Here is a 20,491-nt window from a genome sequence, read left to right as displayed (position 1 = left end):
GCTATTATTTATTAATCAGATGTATTTGATATGCTATTTTAATGATTTTAAATAATTTTATATTTTAAACTGTCAACTAATTTCAATAATTTAGAAATTAAAACAAGTACCTTCATGTTCATTTAAAATAAATTCTACTGGATTACTAACACCCAGTCCTGAACAACGAGGTAGCAGCAAAATCACTTTAACTTTCTGTAACCTGTGATCCTTTGATTCAATGTTAATAAATTTCTCATGAAGTATTTCAATATCTGGGGAAAAAACACAGAAAATTTAATGTAAAATATTAATGAAAAATCTTAATGTAGTATGTGATTGTATCTATTTATTGTACATTTTAAAATCCTCAACCTCACAAAAATTCATTTTGATGTAGTTAGAAAAGAAGGCTATTCTTCTCTGATATCTACCCAAAGTTAATACAGGAATCCTATTAATAGAATGTTTTCTCCTTCACCTGAAATGATGTTGAAATTTAAAATTAAATTCTCATTCTGAACTGCAGGATATATAGTAGGGGAGAAATAGACTTCAGAGGCAGAAAAATTCAAGTTGACTCCCAGCTTCACTGTTTACTAGCTGTGCATTTTAATCTCCCTGAGCCTCCATTTCCTTCTTCATAAAATGGGATGGCTACCTCATATAACTGTGGTGAAGACTGAGATAAAGTAGTTAAGCTTAGCGTGCTGTCTATTATATAGCAAGGGCTCAATATTGGTTATTTCCCTCTCCTATTCTTTATCCCCTTTTATGTTCTATCTTCTCTCCAGAAAAAAAAAAAAAAAAAAGGTGGGGGAGGGTTATCAGAAGCACTTATAAGTTTCCAGTCCAAGGTACAGAATCCATACAAACTGGTGTAAAACATCAATCATACCTTTAAGGATCTTGTGACTTAGCTTAAGAGAGTCTGCCTTCCCTTGCATTATAGCCATCTGTGCCCCCTATCTTACAGCCAACCCTCTACTTTTGCGGTGGCTATCACGCCTCACCTGCTGAAGAATCACTCTTGATATGGCCCCACCTGCTGCCTTTCTCTTGCCTCACCAATTTTTCCCTCTTCCTATTCTCTGTGTCTTTTAAAATTATTTTTTCTTTAAATTGAGTGGTCCTTTTCTTCTTGCCCCCTGCCACTATTTTAAACATTTTATTGGGAAACTTCAAATATCTGCAATATAGGCATAATAATATAATAAATTCTCAAGTACCCATCACAGAGTTTCAACAGTGAACCATTCACAGTCAATCTTGTTTCATCTGTACAATGCAGCCCCTCCCACCCAGCCCCCTATTATTTTGAATCTATAAATAGTACCACATATATCTCTAAAAGGATAAAATCTTCTTTTAAAATGTAACGACACCAAAAAAGTTAAAAATGTTTCCTTATTATTATCAAATATCTAATCTGGCTCGCATTTCCCAACAGTCTCACACGTGTCAAAAGTTTTTTGTTTGAATCAGGATCTAAATAAGGTACATACATGGCAACTGATCAGTCTTACTTTACATTTCTTTTCACCTACAGGTTCTCCCTTCATTTTTTCTTAACATTTATTTCTTAATGAAACTTCATTATTTGCCCTGCCAGAGTTTCCCACAATCTGGATTTTGCTGTTTTCCTAGAATGCAGTTTAACATGTTCCTCTTTTCTGTACTTCCTGTAAATTAGTAAGTGAATCTTTAGAAGACCAATACTTTTTCCTTTGGGGGACAGAGAGAAAGAGGCAAAACTACTTAACAGATGGCATCATATTCTTCCACTCAGTTGCCTTTGTGGTACCACCAAAGGGGTTGCAAAACACTCATATTCTAATTCTAAAACCCTTTTTCCTTTATTAGCTGGAATACTTCTAAAAGGAGAAATTTCCTCTCTTCTACTGCCTGGCTCCCCAGTAGTTCCTATTCTCTTGTGTTAAGTAGGTAAAAACTGCTCAACTATTTGAAAACTCTAATGTGTACAGATGTAAGAACTGCAGAGAGCAGCCACTATTCCCACCCTCAGCCCCAAGACTGAGAGAAAAATGAACAAGGAACTTGGAAACTCAGCAGAGCACCTCCCTGCCCCCAAACCTACACACAACACACACCAGGCTGAGATTCAGGTCTCTGAGAAGAGGGCACGGTTACCAAAGGAATATGCTGTGGTGAACACTGCCAGGATTCTACACAGCCACCATAGGGATAAACAAGCATTGGAAGAAGAAAAGTCCTTTCTTCTTCCTCTTCCAGTCTTACAAAGTCTCTCGGCACCCTCTAATGACAGAGGCAGTTGGCAATGGAGAAACGGAGAATCAGAGTACAGTTCCAGCATCACAAGGCAGGACAAAGTGTGGGTTTAGAGCTGAGAGGCAATAATAAGAACTGGCCCAGTTCCTCAACTTGCTTTCTCTTGATTCTTCTCCTACTTCTCTGTGGCTCCTTTGCTGGTTCCCTCTTATTCAGCTTCCTGACCTCTAGGTATTGGAGTGTCCAGGAATTGGCTTTTAGATTTCTTTACTACCTAAACTCACTTCTTTAGTGATCATGACATTCAATATTATGTAAATGCTAACAAATCCCAAATATGTATCTTTAACATAGACTTCTCCCCTGAACTCCAAAAGAGTGTACCCAAATACCTGCTTGACATTTCCACTTAATGTCTAACAGGCATCTTAAACCTAACATAACTAAAACCTAACTGTACCACAGTCTTTCCCATCTCAGGAAGAGGCAACCTCGGCCGGGCACGGTGGCTCTTGCCTGTAATCCCAGCACTTTGGGAGGCCGAGGTGGGCGGATCACGAGGTCGGGAGTTTGAGACCAGCCTGACCAACATGGTGAAACCCCATCTCTACTAAAAATACAAAAATTAGCCAGGCGTCATGGCCTGCCTCTGTAATCCCAGCTACTCAGGAGGGTGAGGCAGGAGAATTGCTTGAACCTGGGAGGTGGAGGTTGCAGTGAGCCAAGATCGTGCTACTGCACTCTAGTCGTCTGGGCGACAGAGCAAGACTCCGTCTCAAAAAAATAAATAAATAAAAGGAAAGAGCAACCTCATCGACATTATAAAATGAACTGGGAAGTAGTTCCTCCTTCCATTCTCTGAAAGAGTATTATTTCTTCCTTAAATTATTTGCAGAATTCTGTGACAACATCATATAGGAATAAAATTTTTAAAAACTTTTTGTCTTGTGGGTGGGAAGATTTTCTATTATTAATTCAACAGATATTAATAGCCATTAATCTTAAGATCTTAATAGCCAGATTCAAGAGTATCCAGATTTTCCAAAACTATTTCTCAGTTTTGGCAAGTTGTCTATCCAGGAATCCATAGCAGTTAAATGTTCAAGTTTATTGGCATAAAATTGCTCATAGTATCTTTTTATTGTGCTTTAAATGTATCTAGGATCTGCAGTGATATTATTGATAACTGAATTGTTTTATGTTCTTTTTCTTGATGAATCAATTATATTTTCTTTTAAAATTATATTTTCTTTTTTTTACATTTTAAAATCACTTTTTTTATTTTTTTATTTTTATTTTTTAGTATTTATTGATCATTCTTGGGTGTTTCTCGGAGAGGGGGATGTGGCAGGGTCATAGGATAATAGTGGAGAGAAGGTCAGCAGATAAACACATGAACAAAGGTCTCTGGTTTTCCTAGGCAGAGGTCCCTGCGGCCTTCCGCAGTGTAAAATTATATTTTCTTTTTAAAAAGTCACTTTTTGGTTTTGTTAAGAGATACTCTGTTTGTTTTCTGTAACATTAATTCCTGCCATCTTTATTATATTCTTCCATCAGATTTATTTGATGCTATTTTTCTTTTTTTTTTTTCACTCTTTAAAGTTTTATTTCACTAACTTCAGGCCAAATTCCCACAACTGTGTTCTGGTCAATTTACTATCCTTGCTTGGCTTCCCCAAATGGTAGTACCAAAAGATTTGTGGGGTAGGGAGAAGAGACCACTTTAAGAAGCACTGCATTTACTTATCTTCCACAAGGCAACAGAGTTGGGCATCTGATTGTTCAACAAAACAAAGCTTTAATAGCATCCAGGAGGGCAGACAGGCAGGCAAACCACGCTGTAGACACTCTTCTATTTGTCAAAATCAGACCAGAGAAAACCTACTCCACACAGATATAATAGGTATTGATATTCATCTTTCTTTTTCTGTTGCCGCAACATTTTTCTTCTTTTAATGATCATATCATGTAGTTTCTCAAGTCCTTCCTTTAGGCCATCTCCTATGATTGCACAGGTAGGCTGCAAATGCCAAGGAGTTGATGAACTCAGGTCACCCATTGCTAACAATTTCTCAATTTCTGAAAGAGACAATGAGTTCTTCAAATCTTGTTTGTTAGCAACTATAAGTACAGGGACTCCTTGATTTTCTGATATCCTATTTATTTTGTGAAGTTCAGTTTTGGCTTCTTCCATCCTTTCGACATCAACAGAGTCCACAACAAACACAATGCCATCTGTGCATCTGGTATATGACTTCCACAGTGGCCTTAATTTCTCCTGACCACCTACATCCCAGAAATGAAAAGTGACTGTTTTAGAATTTCCCAAGGTTACCTTAATTTTCTCAGTGTTAAATCCTTTGGTAGGTACGGTATTTACAAATTCATTGAACTGCAGCCTGTATAAGACAGTTGTCTTTCCAGCACAGTCCAAACCCAGAATAACAATGTGGAAGGACTGAAATGAAGGCAGGTTGGACAGGATAGAAGTCTGGTCTGATAGCCCATTCCCCATTTCCAGGTGCAAATAAATGTCCCAAATTGAAATGCTTTTCTCTTCTTGCTTTAGAACTTCTCCTGGTAACTGATCCAGCTATAAGACTGACTAACTGTCCTTCCCTCTTCTTCACTCAGCGTCTCTCCCAGCCGCTGGGGAGGCGCCCTGATACCTATTCCCTGGCACCAGGGAGGCGTGGGCGATGGCGGAGGACTGGGCGCCTGGCAGGCGCCGCGCGCCAGCTTTGATGCTATTTTTCTAACTTCTTATCATGCATGTAAGCATCATCAATCTTTACTATTTCTTCTTCTCTAATGGTAGTATTTTAGCCTACAACATTCCCTCTTAGTTGCATTCTACATGTTAACATGTATTTTTACAATCGTTAAGTTCCAAATATTCTCTAATTCCCACTGTGATTTCTTTTATAACTGATAAATTATTTTGAAGTATTTTAATTCCAAAGTGTGGCTGGGCATGGTGGCTCACGCCTGTAATCCCAGCACTTTGGGAGGCCGAGGCGGGTGGATCACCTGAGGTCAGGAGTTCACAACCAGCCTGGCCAACATGGTGAAACCCTATCTCTACTAAAAATACTAAAAATTAGCTGGCCATGGTGGCACGTGCCTGTAATCCCAACTACTTGGGAGGCTGAGGCAGAAGAATCACTTGAACCTGGGAGGCGGAGGTTGCAGTGAGCCAAGATCACGCCATTGCACTCCAGCCTGGGCAACAAGAGTGAAACTCCATCTCAAAAAAAAAATCCAAAATGTCATGGGATTTCCTACTTTTCTTTTTCTTTTTTTCCCTGATTTCTTGCTTGATTCCACTGTGGCTGAAAAACATATTAGGAGCTAGGTGTGGTGACTCATCCCTGTAATCCCTGGGCAAAATAGTGAGACCTTGTCTCTACCAAAAAAAAAAAAAATAGCTGAGAGTGGTGGTATGTGCCTATAATAGCAGCTACTTGGGATGCTGAAGTGGGAGGACTGTTTGCACCCAGGAGATCAAGCTGCAGTGAGCCAGGATCACACCACTGCACTACAGCCTGGGTGACAGTGAGACCCAGTCTCTAAAACAACAACAACAACAACTTTGTATGATTTCAGTCCTTTGAAAGTCACTGAAACTTGCTTCCTGGCCCAGCATGTAGTAATTTTTGCTGTTTATGTGTTCTGTGCAGTCACTAGGTACGGTGTTCTACATATGTTAGCTTGGTTAACTTGCTGATCATGTTGTTTCCATCTTCTATATCCTTACTTATCTTACTAATTTGTTTTCAATTTGAGAGAGGTCTGTTAAAATCTCCCACTAAGATAAATTGACAAATTGTCTAGCTTTTGGTTCTGACTGATTTTCTTAAGGTTTAAGTATACAACTCAGGGGTTCTTTTGAGTACATTCACCAAGTTGTGTAACCATCACTATTACCAATTCTGCAACACTTTCTTCACTCCCAAGAGAAACCCCATACTCATTAGTAGTCATTCTCCCAGCCCATCTCAGGAAAGGGCAACCAGCCCATCACATTTGCTAATCTATTCTGTCTCCATAGATTTGCCTATTTGGGATATTGTCCTCTTCCCCCAAAATGTAATCATAAATGAGGACTTTTTTGTTTGGCTTTCTTACTTAGCATCATGTTTTAAGAGTCATCCATCTTGCACCATTAGGATTTCATTCTTTTTTATGGCCAAATACTCTTCCATTGTATGGATATACCACATTTTTAATCCACTCATCATTTGATGGACATTTGGGCTATTTCCACTTTTTAGCTATTATGAATAACACTGCTATGAACTTTCATGTACAAGCTTTTGTGTGAATATATGTTTTCAATTCTCTTGAGTATGGACCTAAAGGTGGAATTCTTAAGTTATATAGTAACTCTATGTTTAACTTATTGGGAAACTGCCAAACTGTTTTCCAAAGTAGCTGCACCATTTTATGTTCCCATCAGCAATTCTTCCACATTGTTGCTTACATGTTATTTTCCTGTTTTTTACTATAGCCATACTAGTGGGTTTGAAGTGGTATTTCATTATGGTTTTGATTTGCAGTTCCCTAATGATGAATGATTTTGAGCATCTTTTCACATGAGCTTACTGGTCATTTGTAGATCTTCACTGGAGAAATATTCAGATCTTCTGCCCTTTCTAAGTTGGGCTACTTGTCTTTTTATTGTTGAGTTGTTTATATATTCTGAATACAAGTCCCTTTTCAGATAGATGATTTGAAAATAATTTCTCCCATTCTGTGAGTTATCTTTTTTTTTTTTTTTAAATGGATTCTCGCTCTGTTGCCTAGGCTAGAGTGCAGTGGCACAATCTTGGCTCACTGCAACCTCCACCTTCTGGGTCCAAGTGATTCTCCTGCCTCAGCCTCCTGAGTAGCTGGGATTACCAGTGTGCACCACCATTCCCGGCTAATTTTTGTAATTTTAGTAGAGACAGGGTTTCGTCATGTTGGCCAGGCTGGTCTTGAACTCCTGACCTCAGGTGATCCACTCACCTCGGCCTCCCAAAGTGCTGAGATTACAGGCATGAGCCACCGTGCCTGGCCAGTCTTTTCAGTTTTTTGATAGTGACTTTGAAGCACAAAAGTTTTTAATTTTAATCAAGTCCAATTTATCGATTTTTTCTTGTTGCTTGTGCTTTTGATGTTATATCTAAACAACCACTGCTAAATCCAAGCTCATGAAAACTTACCTGTGTTTTCTTATAAGAGTTTTAGCTCTAACACTTATATTTTTGATCCATTTTGAGTTAATTTTTGTATATGATTTGAGATATGCATCCAATTTTATTCTTTTCCAAGTGCCTATCCCGTTGTCCCAGCACCATTTGTTGAAAAGACTATTCATTTCCCACTGCATGGTCTTGGCAACCTTGTTGAAAGTCTGACCATAAATGTAAGGGTTTATTTCTGAACTTTCAATTTTGTTCCACTGATCTATACATTTACCCTTACGCTAGCATCACACTTCTTGATTACTGTAGCTGTGTAGTAAGCTTTTAAATCAGGAAATGTGAGTCCTATAAACTTTGTTCTTTTTCATGACTCATTTAGCTATTCTGGGTTCCTTAAATTTCCATGTGAATTTTAGGAACAGTGTGTCAATGTCTGCAAAAAGCTCAGCTAAGCTTTTTATAAGAACTGCAATGAATCTGTAGATCAATTTAATATTGAGTGTTCTGATCCTTAAACGTGGAATATTTTCCATTTGTTTATGTCTTCCTTGATTATTTTTTATTTTTTTAGAGACAGGGTCTCACTTTGTTGCCCAGGCTGGAGTGCAGTGGCATGAACCAGCTCACTGCAGCCTTGAACTCCTGGGCTAAAGTGATCCTTCTACCTCAGCCTCCCAAGTAGCTAGGACTACAGGCATGTGCCACCATGGCTGGTTAATTTTTAAATTTTTGGTAGAGATGGGATCTTGCTACGTTGCCAGATTGGTCTCGAACTCCTGGCCTCAAGTGAGCCTCCCACCTTAGCCCCTCCCAAAGTGCTGAGATTACGGATGTGAGCCACTGCACCCGGCCCTAATTTCTCTTTTCTTTTTTTCTTTTTTTTTTTTTTTGAGACAGGGTGGAGTGCAATGGTGCAATCTCAGCTCACTGTAACCTCTACTTCCCAAGTTCAAGAGATTCTCCAGCCTCAGCCTCCCTCGTAGCTGGGACTACAGGCATAAGCCACCACGCCTGGCTAATTTGTTTTTGTATTTTTTATAGAGACGGGGTTTTGCCATATTGTCCAGGCTGGTCTTGAACTCCTGAGCTCAAAGTGATCTACCCACCTCAGCCTCCCACATAAGCCACAGCATCCAGCTTCCTAATTTCTTTAAGTGATATTTTGTAGTTTTTCATTGTACAAGTCTTGAGCTTCTTGTATTAAATTTATTGCTAAGAACTTTATTATTTTTGATGTTATAAAAAGGATTTTCTTTCATTTTTTAGATTATTCATTGTTGGTAGATAGAAATACAATAGATTTTTATATATTCGTTTTGTATCCTGCAACCTTACTATATACTAATTTGTTAGTTCTAATAGTTTATTCATTGATTCCTTTGGATTTTTTGTATACAGAGAAGGTTTGCTTGTTCTGGACAATTTTACTCTCTATATATTTTAGGACTATGTTATTAGGTACATATATCTTTAGTACTGTCATATTTTCCTGATGAATTAAACCTTTCATAATTATAAATACCTCTCTTCATTTTTAGCAGTGTTTCTTGACTTGAATCTATTTGTCTGCAGCTCTTTTTATTAGCATACACACAGCATATCTTTTTCTGTTCTTTGAAGTTTTTTTGTATCCTTTTATTTAAGAGCATTTCTGGTAAACAGCATTTAGTTGATCTTTTAAAATCCAAGACTGACCGGGCACAGTGGCTTATGCCTGTAATCCCAACACTTTGGGAGGCCAAGACAGAAGGCTTGCTTGAGCCGAGGAGTTCACAACCAGTCTGGACAACATAGTGAGATGTCATCTCTACAAAAAATAAAAAAATTAGCCAGGTGTGGTGGCACATGCCTGTAGTCCCAGCTACTTGGGAGGCTGAGCAGGAGTATCGATGGGGCCCAGGAGGTTGAATTTATATTGAGCTGAGATTGCCCCACTGCACTCCAGCCTGGGTGACAGAGCGAGACCCCGTCTCTATAAAACAAAAAGAAAAAAACAAACAAACAAATAGGAAATAAACAAAAATCCAATATTGACTTTCAAGTATTCAGCCCATGTATTTTAAATGTGTTTAATGTATAATATTTTAGGCCAGGCATGGTAGCTCACACCTGTAATCCCAGCAATTTGGGAGACCAAGGCAGGTGGATCACTTTGAGCTCAGGAGTTCGAGACCAGTCTGGCCAACATAGCATGTCTTTACTAAAAATACAAAAAAATTATCTGGGTGAGGTGGTGCATGCTACTCAGGAGATTGAGGCATGAGAATTGCTTGAACCTGGGAAGCAGAGGTTGCAGTGAGCTGAGATAGCTCCACTGCAGTCTAGCCTGGGCAACAGAGGGAGACTGTGTCATATATATATATATGCCGAGGCGGGTGGATCACGAGGTCAGGAGATCAAGACCATCCTGGCTAACACAGTGAAACCCCGTCTCTACTAAAAAAATACAAAAAATTAGCCGGGTGTGGTGGCAGGCACGAGTCCCAGCTACTTGGGAGGCTGAGGCAGAAGAATGGTGTGAACCTGGGAGGCAGAGCTTGCAGTGAGTCGAGATCATGCCACTGCACTCCAGCCTGGGCGACAGAGCGAGACACCGTCTCAAAAAAAAAAAAAAAAAAAAAAAATATATATATATATATATATATGTGTATGTGTGTGTGTGTGTGTGTGTGTGTGTGTGTGTATTTCAATGTTTACATAATATTTTAATGTCATATGTATATAATGTATGTAAGCTTAAATATATGTTATTTGGTTTAATCTACCATCCTATTTGCTATTTGTCTTGCTTTTTTTATGTCCCCTTTCTCTCCTTTTTTTTTTCTTTTTTTGAGACAGGGTCTTGCTCTGTCACTCAGGTTAGAGCGCAGTGGCATAATCATGGCTCACTGCAGCTTTGATCTCCTGGGCTCAAGCAATCCTCTAACCTCAGCCTCCTGAGTAGCTGGGACCACAGGTGTGTGCTACCACCTGGGTAATTTTTTGTATTTTTGATAGAAATAGGGTTTCACCATGTTGCCCAGGCTGGTCTCAAACTCCTGGGCTCAAGCAATCCACCTGCCTCAGCCTCACAAAGTGCTGGAATGGAATTACAGGAATGAGCCATTGTGCCTGGTCTTCTCTCCTTTATTGATTGATTGATTGATTGATTGATTTATGAGACGGAGTCTCACTCTGTTGCCTAGGCTGGAGGGCAGTGGCGCGATCTCAGCTCGCTGCAACCTCTGCGTCTGGGGTTCAAGTGATTCTCATGCCTCAGCCTACCAAGCAGCTGGGACTACAAGCCTGTACCACTCATCCGGCTAAGTTTTGTATTTTTAGTAGAGATGGGGTTTCACCATGCTGGTCGGGCTGGTCTCGAACTCCTGGCCGCAGGTGATCCTCCTGCCTTGCCTCCTAAAGTGCTAGGATTACAGGCATGAGCTACCACACCTGTCCTCTCCTTTTTAATCTTTTTTTAGACTCATATTCCAATTCTATATTTCATTCCTCTCCCCCTTAACTATTCATTATACATTATTTTATTATGTGTTACTCATTGTCCCAGAAATTATAGCAAACATCATTGACTTAATATACTACTTTACCACTTCCTAGAAAAGCAAAAACCATAGGACACATTAATTCTATTTTTCTTTCCTCTAAAATTATATGTCATGGTTGTAATTTATTTTAATTGCATATAACATTAAATATCTTTAGTCCCGCAGACATTAATTTGCAACCCCATTAAACATTAGATTATAATCATTTAGATTTACCTATGTACTTAACTTTTGTATTTTTCTTCATTTCTTTCAGCATCTCCACTTTTTTAGAGACAGAGTGTTTTTTTCGAAACAGTCTGGCTCTGTGGCCCAGGCTGGAGTGCAGTGGCGCAATCTCGGCTCACTGCAAGCTCCGCCTCCCAGGTTCATGCCATTCTCCTGCCTCAGCCTCATGAGTAGCTGGGACTACAGGCGCCTGCCATCACACCCGGCTAATTTTTTGTATTTTTTAGTAAAGACGCTGTTTCACCGTGTTAGCCAGGATGGTCTCGATCTCCTGACCTTGTGATCCGCCAGCCTCGGCCTCCCAAAGTGCTGGGATTACAAGCGTGAGCCACAGTGCCTGGCAGAGACAGGGTCTTGCTCTGTTACCCAGGTTGGAATGCAGTGGCACAATCATGGCTTACTGTAACCTTAAACTCCTGGGCTCAAGTGGTCCTCCCACTTCAGCATCCTGAGTAGCTAGGACTACAGCTGCACATCACTACATCCAGCTATTTTTTTTTTATTTTTAGTAGAGACAGTGTCTCACTGTGTTACCCAGGCTGATCTCAAACTCCTGGCCTCTTCCTAACTTGGCCTCCCAAAGCACTGGGATTACCAGCATGAGCCACTGTGCCCAGCCTCCAATTTCTTCTACCCAAACCATGTATCTTTAGTATTCCCTTTACTGTGTCTACTAGTGACAAACTCTCAGATCTTATTTGTCTGAGAATATCTTTATTTTATTTTATTTCAAAGAGTATTTTTGGTGGATATAAAAATCTAGCCTGGCAGTTTCTTTCAGCATTATGAAGACATTGTTTAATGGTTCTGGTTTTAATTGTTTCCATTGAAAAGTTAGTTTTTAATTTTATTGCTATTCCATTGATGGTATATGTATTTTCTCCCTGGCTACTCACCAATACCTTTCTCTTTGGTTTTCAGCAGGTATGCTATGGTATGCCTAATATGTTACCTTAGTCTGTTTGGGCTGCTACAACAAATGCCATAGAATGAGTAGCTTATAAACAAAAGAATTTTATTTCTCACAAGTCTGGAGACTAGGAAGTTGAAGATCAAGGCACCAGCAGATTCAGTGTCTGGTGTGGGCCTGCTTTCTTACAGATAGTGCCTTCCTGCTGTATCCTCAGATGGTGAAAGGGGGCTACCTAGGTCCCTGGGGTCCCCTTCGTAACGGCACTAATCCCATTCATGAGGGCTCTGCCCTCACAATTTCCCAAAGGCCCCACCTCCTGATACCATCACTTCGGGGGTTAGGATTTTAACATACAAATTTTGTGGGGATACAAATATTCAGGCCATAGGATATGTTTTCCATGTATTCTGATTAGACTTTTACAAGGCTTCTTGAATCTGTGGCTTAATGTCTTTCATCCACTTTCAAGAATTCTCAGCCTGAAATTCAAATATTGTTTCTTTCCAATTCCTTTTCTCCTCTCCATCTGCAATTCCACACACACATGAGATAACTGAATCACTGAGTCTCATGTGTGTCTTATGACCTCTTTCATATCCTTTGTCTCCCCATGCTTAAGTCTAGATATTTTCTTCAGGCCTATCAGTTCACTCATTGTATCTTCATTTCTGTGTAATTTACTGTAAAATCCATATCTCATTTATTTCCTAATTTCACACATTGTATTTTTCAGTTCTAGAACTTTCTTTTAGCTTTTTTGATTATAGTTTCCAGGTCTTTGCTAAAATTCTAAAATTTGACATTTAGTCCCTCCAGCTTATTAATCATAGTTATTTTAAAGTGTACATTTTTAGTCAGGTGCAGTGGCACCTGCCTGTAATTTCAGCTACTTGAGAGGCTGAGGCAGGAGGATTGCTTGATCCCAGGAGTATGAGATCAGCCTAGGCAACATAACAAGACCCTGTCTCAAAAAAGTAAAACTAAAGTCCACGTCTGATAAATCCAGTATCTCCAGATACACTGTGGGTCTGCTTCTACTGCAGTGCTTTCTGTTTTAGTCATATCTTTTCTTGTTCTGTCAGTGTTTTATAAAATTGAGTGGTAGATATTGCATTAGAAAAAATTTAGAAGATACAGGCCGGGTGCGGTGGCTCACGCCTGTAATCCTAGCACTTTGGGAGGCCAAGATGGGTGGATCACCTGAGGTCAGGAGTTCGAGACCAGCCTGGCCAACATGGTGAAATACAAAAATTAGCGGGGCATGTTGGCGAGTACCTGTAATCCCAGCTGCTCAGGAGGTTGAGGCAGGAGAATCGCTTGAACCCGGGGGGCAGAGGTTGCAGTGAGCCAAGATGGTGCCAACTGCACTCCCGCCTGGGCAACAAGAGGGAGACTCCATCTCAGAAAAATAAAAAAAAATTTAAAAAAATGAAAAAAATTAGAAGATAATTAGAAATGTAGGATGATGTTGTTTTCCTCCAGAGGGAATTTACTTTTGCTTCTGGCAGGCAGCTAAGACTGGGCACTAGCAATCCCAGATCACCTTAATCTAATTGGGAATTAAGATGACTGGAATGGGGGTTCTAATTCTTTGGAGGACTGATCACTATCCAAGATGTACTTCGGGACTCCAAGTGAAATCCTGAGTATTTACCAGGCTACCTCTCCTGGTCAAATCCTGAATTCCACTTTTTGTCTCCCTATCCCTGTGAATCTGTTAAAAGTTTTGCTTAGTTTTTCAGCCTCGCTGAACCTATAATAAAATGTAATCTTTAGTTAGAATGATCCAATGGAAACATTTTTAAAAAACAAGAAGCCTAAAAGACAGCTCCTAGGCCAGGCCTGGTAGCTCACGCCTCTGTAATCTCAGGACTTTGGGATGCCCAGGCAGGTGGATCACTTGAGCCCAGGAGTTTGAGATTAGCTTGAGCAACACTGCAAAACCTTGGCTCTACAAAAATTAGAAAAATTAGCCACGCATAGTGGCATGAGCCTGTAGTCACAGCTACTTGGGAGGCTGAGGTTGGAGGACCTCTTGAGCCCAGGAGGTAGAGGCTGTGGTGAACTGTGATCATATCAGTACACTCCAGCCTGGGCAACAAAGTAAGACTTTATCTCAAAAAAAAAAAGACTTAGCTTCTAGTCCTAGATATTATCTTTGTCACTTAAGCACTTATTTAAGTATTTATTAAATGATAATCATTCTTATTTATTAAATGATACATTTCTACTTTAAATGTTTGAGCCTCAAATTATGTGAGCTAAATGTCAAACAGTATTACAAAGTACCAAGAAATTAATTTAACCCACAGTTGTTTAACCAAATTAAGCAACAAGGACAGCCTGATAAGACATAGATTAGTAAGGATTTTAAGATATTAGTTCACATATAGAGCTTTTACATTACAAAAAAACTAATAAATTAAAACTTTTTAACGTTTCTAAAATCTTGCAGAACAATAATCACCAAATGAAGAAATATTTTTACATACTTTTACATCCTATTTTTGTGAAAAGGGTCTTCAAGTCAGGATCCTTAGCTTGTGATTGTACTCCACACACAAATACTTTTGAGGTATTATTATTTGTTAAAATTGACATGTGGGAAACTGTGTACCATGAGCCTGTATTGACCATTAAGACATCATCATCCATATTTAATAAAGCCTTTACAGAATGGACAGCAAGACTTCGAGATTTGTCCTGTAAGATAATGGTATGATTAGAATTTCAAAGGGTATGGCTAGAAATATAAGCTGACTTCTATTTGCTTTACATAAAAGAAAGTACCTCATAGTAATATTAGAGACCTAACCAATTTTAGTTTTAACATCTTAATATATGTCTAAGTAAAGAGTTAACAAAGACAACTGATGTTTAAAACAAAGAGCTTAACTTTGTTTAGCCTAAATTATGACTGTTACTGTCTAAGTTTTGTATAAAGCAATGCCAGAATCTCTAAAATATGGTCAACAGATTAATGATGTCCTATCTTAACTCCCATTCTTACCCCTTCACAAAAACCCACTCATCTACTACTTCCATTTTCTCTTCCCCATTACCTTGTCACCTAAATTGCCACTAGCTCACAGAGATTAAAATTAATATATTTGAGAAGCTCATCAAAGGGGGCTTGACAGGTTGGGCTTCTGCAGTTGATCTCAGTGCTTGATATGGTAAGAGATTCTGCCCAAGAATATGAATGTGGAAAAGGGATAAACCTTAGAAGATCAAGGTATATCTGAGGCAATAATTGGAATCTAAGGATGTAAAAATGAATTTAAACTACTTTTTTATACCTTTTATTTTCGTTCTGTTGAAACTACATTATACCTCACATTCTCTTCCTATATTGATAGCCTTTATATACCTCTTACAAATCAAAGCTATAAGACTATATTAAAGAAATTATGAAAAACTATTACAATTGTTTTTTCATATGCAAGATGGCACTAGCATCTTCCCCAGAAAGGGAAGGAAGAAAAGGTCTCATTGTACTTTCTCTTGAATTCTCCTTTAGGGGAGAAAAGTAGAACCTTACAGCTGCCAGCAATGCAAATCTTCCCATTCATGGAATCTGGGAGAAGAATATGTTCTTTATAAATTCACATGAGACAAAGACGCCAACCAGATGCACTGATTGTAGAGGTATTAATTTTATTCAAGGTGACAATTAGGCCTTATAAACCTCCCTGATAATCTATAAAAATATAAACAGTGTTAGGTTTTATTTTTAAGTGGAGAAGTTCTTTGGCTAGGTTGGATTGTTGAGAATCACAATGAAAGTAAATATTAGTTTACCTGAAATATAAGTTTGTAATCTTTGAAAAGATCTATATTTATAAGATCATTTTTAAGATGAGATGGAAAAATTAAGACATCATAGCAATGTTGATCCACAGCAAAGACTTTATCATCAATATGCAATACAGATTTGACTTTATTATAGCCTCTTCTCTTCAAATTATTATAAACTTCTTCAGGGCTGTAAATATACAACATTAGCTTGTAATTACAAATATAATACATTAAAAACGTCCTTAACACTAACACCTTTTTCCTGTAACAAAGAAAAATATCACTTCATACATTACATCTAATGGAACTAACAATTTTAACCAACAATAAACTAAAAGATAATTATAGGCAGAGAAGTTAACATATTTATGTAATTACCTTTGGTAATTTGGTCATAAGCTCTGGAACTTAACTCTGATTCCCTAATCACTCCCCTAGATGTGCCACCCCCACCTCTTAAAAAGGTAATGCTTCTCATCACATTATTTTAAAAGGATGGAGACTTGAAATATAAAGAATTTGATTTAAACACTTACCTGATTTTACAAGTATTTATCCAAGCATAAAGTGGTAAAGTGGAGGCCCTTAGTTCCTGTTTCCTAACTGTTTCTGGAAGGATGTGGTAAATTGAAAGGGCATCATGCTTGATTCGACATCTTGCCAATGCTGCAGCCAATTTTATCTTAAAACTAGAGACAGAAAATCCATCCTTAATCTATTGCATTTGAGACAAGACTATCAATTTTCCACTGGAAACTCTAAAAAATTACATTTAGAATTTTAACAAATAACAATTCTATTTCAAATTTTTGAAGTCTAAAATAAAAATGTGTCATATTTGTAAATAGAAATCCAAGCCCAGGCGCAGCGGCTCATGCCTGTAATCCCAACACTTTGGGAGGCCGAGGCAAGTGGATCACCTGAGGTCAGGTGTTCGAGACCAGCCTGACCAACCTGGGGAAACCCCATCTCTACTAAAAATACAAAATTAGCCGGGCGTGGTGGCGGGCGCCTGTAATCCCAGCTACTCGGGAGGTTGAGGCAGGAGAATCACTTGAACCCAGGAGGCGGAGGTTGCAGTGAACCGAGATTCCACTCCACTCCAGCCTGGGCAACAAGAGCAAAACTCTGTCTCAAAAAAGAAAAGAAAATAGAAATCCAATAATCCTGATTTCTTTCTTTCTGTTTTTGCTGCCCCTGTATAGTTGTGCAGCAATTTCTTAACTATTGTATTAATTACTGGTTGAAAGACAAACTTTTTTTTTTTTTTTGAGATAGAGTCTCCGTCTGTCGCCCAGGCTGGAGTGCAGTGGCATGATCTTGGCTTACTGCAACCTCTGCCCTGTGGGTTCAAGCAATTCTCCTACCTCAGCCTCCCGAGTTGCTGGGACTACAGGTGTGCACCACCACACCCAGCTAATTTTTGTATTTTTAGTACAGATGGGGTTTCGCCATGTTGGCCAAGCTGTTCTCAAACTCCTGACCTCAAGTGATCCGCCCGCCTCAGCCTCCCAAAGTGCTGGGATTACAGGCGTAAGCCACCGCACCCAGCCGAAAGACAAACTTTATTTATTGAGAAGGGTCTAGGATTTAGAGTCAGACAAACTTGAAGTTAAATCCAGGTTTTATCACTTACTAGCTGTGTAACCTCAGGAATGTTACTTAATCTCCTTTTTCAGCCTAGTTGTCTCATCTGTTAAAGGTGGTCAACTTACCTTGTTATTAATGTAGTGATTATCAATCATGTGTGCAAAATTCTTAGCGCAGTGCCTGGCACGTAGCAGGCACTCATTATAGGCTAGTTATCAGTATCACAGATGGCAACAGTATAGTCTTGATAAGATTAAAGAACTTTCATGAGTCTGTATTAAGTCCTTCCCAGTTCTGAATGTCCCATGCTTCAAAATTCCAAATCACAAAAGAAAAACAAGAACTGGTTAGCATCACCATGATGGCTCAATGATTTTTCTTGATCTCATAGCCCAAATTTTTAATGAATGAGAACACAGGACTTATTCCTGACCCATATTCATAGCATTTTCACAGTAGAAATCTAACTGAAATCAACCTCAAGTATAACCTTGAGTGAGAAATAAGAAGAGATGTCACAAAACAGTCAAATACGATCTGAGTTGTGGTTGGTGGGTGGTACAGAAGGGGAGCACACTTTCAGGGAATTACTGTCAGGCCCACCTAAATTGTTTCAAAGAATGCTGGGAGCCAGGACAAGAGGGGTAGTAAATGAGCATCTCTGTTATTTTTTTAGCACCAACTGTTAAATCCCTACTTCTTTTCTTCATGCCTGCAGTGTCCTTATTCTACATTTCTTATCTACTCAATAGAATGAGAACATCTCACCCAAAAAAATTGTTTATGTGGGAATATTATGTGTATGTATATGAGAGAGAGAAGATAGGGGAACTTGGTAAGGAAAGGGAAGGGTGATCAAACATTAAGCCTTTTGGGACTACAATAAAATTAGATTTGTCTAATTCTGTGTCTAAATGTCACAGAACTATGGCAGTGGATACTAAAAAAATGACATAGTACATTAATGCACCTCAAAAAATAAATTAATGTAAAAGGGGTGAGTTACTGTTCTATATTATACATTGTGAGATATTCTGAGTATAGACTATTTTTTATTAACAATACTTGCAAATACCTACTTAGTTCAAATTTATCATGATAAATGATATTACTGAATTATTCAATCATTAAAGACTAAAAATATGAAGCTGAGAAATATACATGTGCTGTGTATACGGGAGGAGTGTAAGGAGAAATAAATCTCCAATTTTCCAGATAGTAAACATTTTGGACCATGATTTTTAACAAAATTTAATCCCACAAAAAATAAAGTGTACATGCAGTTATACAGATTTTTATGTAAAGATACTATATTAGACTTAGGGCAAAGATCAAATCCATATGTTCTTAAAATAACCAGACCTATACTTCTGTAGATGAAGTATGCTATCTTGTGGTTACTAAAAAAAGCTTCTTCCATAGCTTTAAATAAGGAGGACTGCAATGATGAAAATGGTAGCAAAGTAGCCTTTCCCAATATTCTTGATCCAGAAGTCCTTTTTCTGCTACAGTTTGTATGTTATCACAGAGAGCTGCCTGATTATCTTTTTTACCATCATCCCAGTTACACACACAGTCAGAGCTTCCTTTATGATATTAAATATTAATAATATAATTATATATTTATAATTATATAATTATAAATATATATTTATATAAGCTTAAATTTTAGATGAAATCCACCAGCCACAGGACAGAATCTAAACTCCTTATGAGGATATTCTAGGATCTTAATAGCTCAACCTGAACCAACTCTTCCTGTCTCAATTCCCATCACTCTCATCCATAAATCTATCGTCAGTCATGTGCTGAACTATTTGCCACTCCTATGGTATGCCATGTCACATCTCCTCTTTCTCTCTCTTCCATATTCTCTCTCTCTCAATTATCTGAATTCAGGTAATTTGATTGCAGAGTTCAAGCCCAACTGGCGTGCATGAGAGAGAAGAGAAAGAGAGAAAGACAGAGATTTTTTGGAGGTAGAAAGAGAGAGTCAAGCCAGTTTTTCCAGTGTTTGGTACTATAAAATGTAGCTCCCATGTTAGGGAGTTGTTGGCAGCCAAGCTTCTTATCCTGGAAATATAGAATGATAAGAGAATGGAGGCACAGAGAAGCAGAGACTAGAGTCCTGATGATTTTGGAGTCACAGGCTCTATTTAGCAGAAGCATCGCTACATCACCGCCCTTCCTGTAGCCTCATGTTCAATTCTTCCATAAATGATCTTAAAGTCCCTCTTTTGCAGAATCTGTCAGTTGCAAAAAATCATCTTAACTAATATGCCATTTTTCCTCAGTTTATTATTTTTTATTTTTTGAGGCAGAGTCTTGCTCTGTCACCAGGCTGGAGTGCAGTGGTGCAATCTCGGCTTACTGCAACCTCCGCCTCCTGGGTTCAAGAGATTCTCCTGCCTCAGCCTCCCAAGTAGCTGGGACTACAGGTGCACACCACCACACCTGGCTAATTTTTGTATTTTTAGTAGAGATGGGGTTTCACTATGTTGGCCAAGATGGTCTCGATCTCTTGACCTCACGATCCGCCCACCTTGGCCTCCCAAAGTGCTGGGATTACAGGTGTGAGCCACCGTGCCCAGCCACCTCAGTTTATTTTTAAATGAAATTGATATTACTCTTTTTTGGCTTTTTACTACTTCTTTTGGCTTTTTGTAATATACATTTACATTTTTTAAATTTTCAGAAATATTTATGTAGTTTTTGACTCAAGTTTTTGAATGGCATTACTAATGTCTAACATATCAGAACTGTGGTTCTCTTTAAATATAAATTGAATAAAGTCATCTGCTGCATAATGACATTTAGGTCAATGATGAACTCTGTTTATGATGGTGGTCCCATAAAAGTTTACTACGGTAGTACCTTTGCTATATTTAAATAGGTTTAGATACACAAATACTTGCCATAGTGTTATAATTGCCTACAGTATTCAGTACATAACATGCTGTGCAGGTTTGTAGCCTAGGAGCACTAGGTTATACCATATA

At 38.5% G+C, this 20,491-nt stretch overlaps 1 protein-coding gene and 1 pseudogene across 11 annotated transcripts in view; both read right to left on the bottom strand.

Annotated features, from left to right (window-relative positions):
* NSUN7 (NOP2/Sun RNA methyltransferase family member 7) overlaps positions 1–20,491 on the bottom strand; it is a 61,230-nt gene that overhangs the window by 20,329 nt on the left and 20,410 nt on the right. For 4 of the 11 annotated variants that reach the window (XR_007057964.1, NM_024677.6, NM_001330648.3 and 1 more), the window contains 4 exons: positions 16,439–16,591; positions 15,906–16,089; positions 14,597–14,807; positions 111–254 (listed from right to left, as the gene is read on the bottom strand). Coding sequence is in view for 10 of the 11 variants with exons in the window: in NM_024677.6 (NP_078953.4) it covers positions 111–254; positions 14,597–14,807; positions 15,906–16,089; positions 16,439–16,591 (692 nt within the window). In the remaining variant the exon portion in view is untranslated. Of the gene's footprint in view, positions 1–110; positions 255–4,007; positions 4,309–14,596; positions 14,808–15,905; positions 16,090–16,438; positions 16,592–17,617; positions 19,853–20,491 lie in introns of those variants that run through there. The other 7 variants (XM_017008611.3, XM_047416171.1, XM_017008612.3 and 4 more) reach the window with 4 other exon arrangements.
* ARL4AP2 (ARF like GTPase 4A pseudogene 2) lies at positions 3,820–4,968 on the bottom strand (annotated as a pseudogene).

Source organism: Homo sapiens, chromosome 4 (assembly GCF_000001405.40).
Source record: "Homo sapiens chromosome 4, GRCh38.p14 Primary Assembly".
NCBI lineage: Eukaryota > Metazoa > Chordata > Mammalia > Primates > Hominidae > Homo > Homo sapiens.
This window is presented reverse-complemented; position numbering and strand designations above follow the sequence as displayed.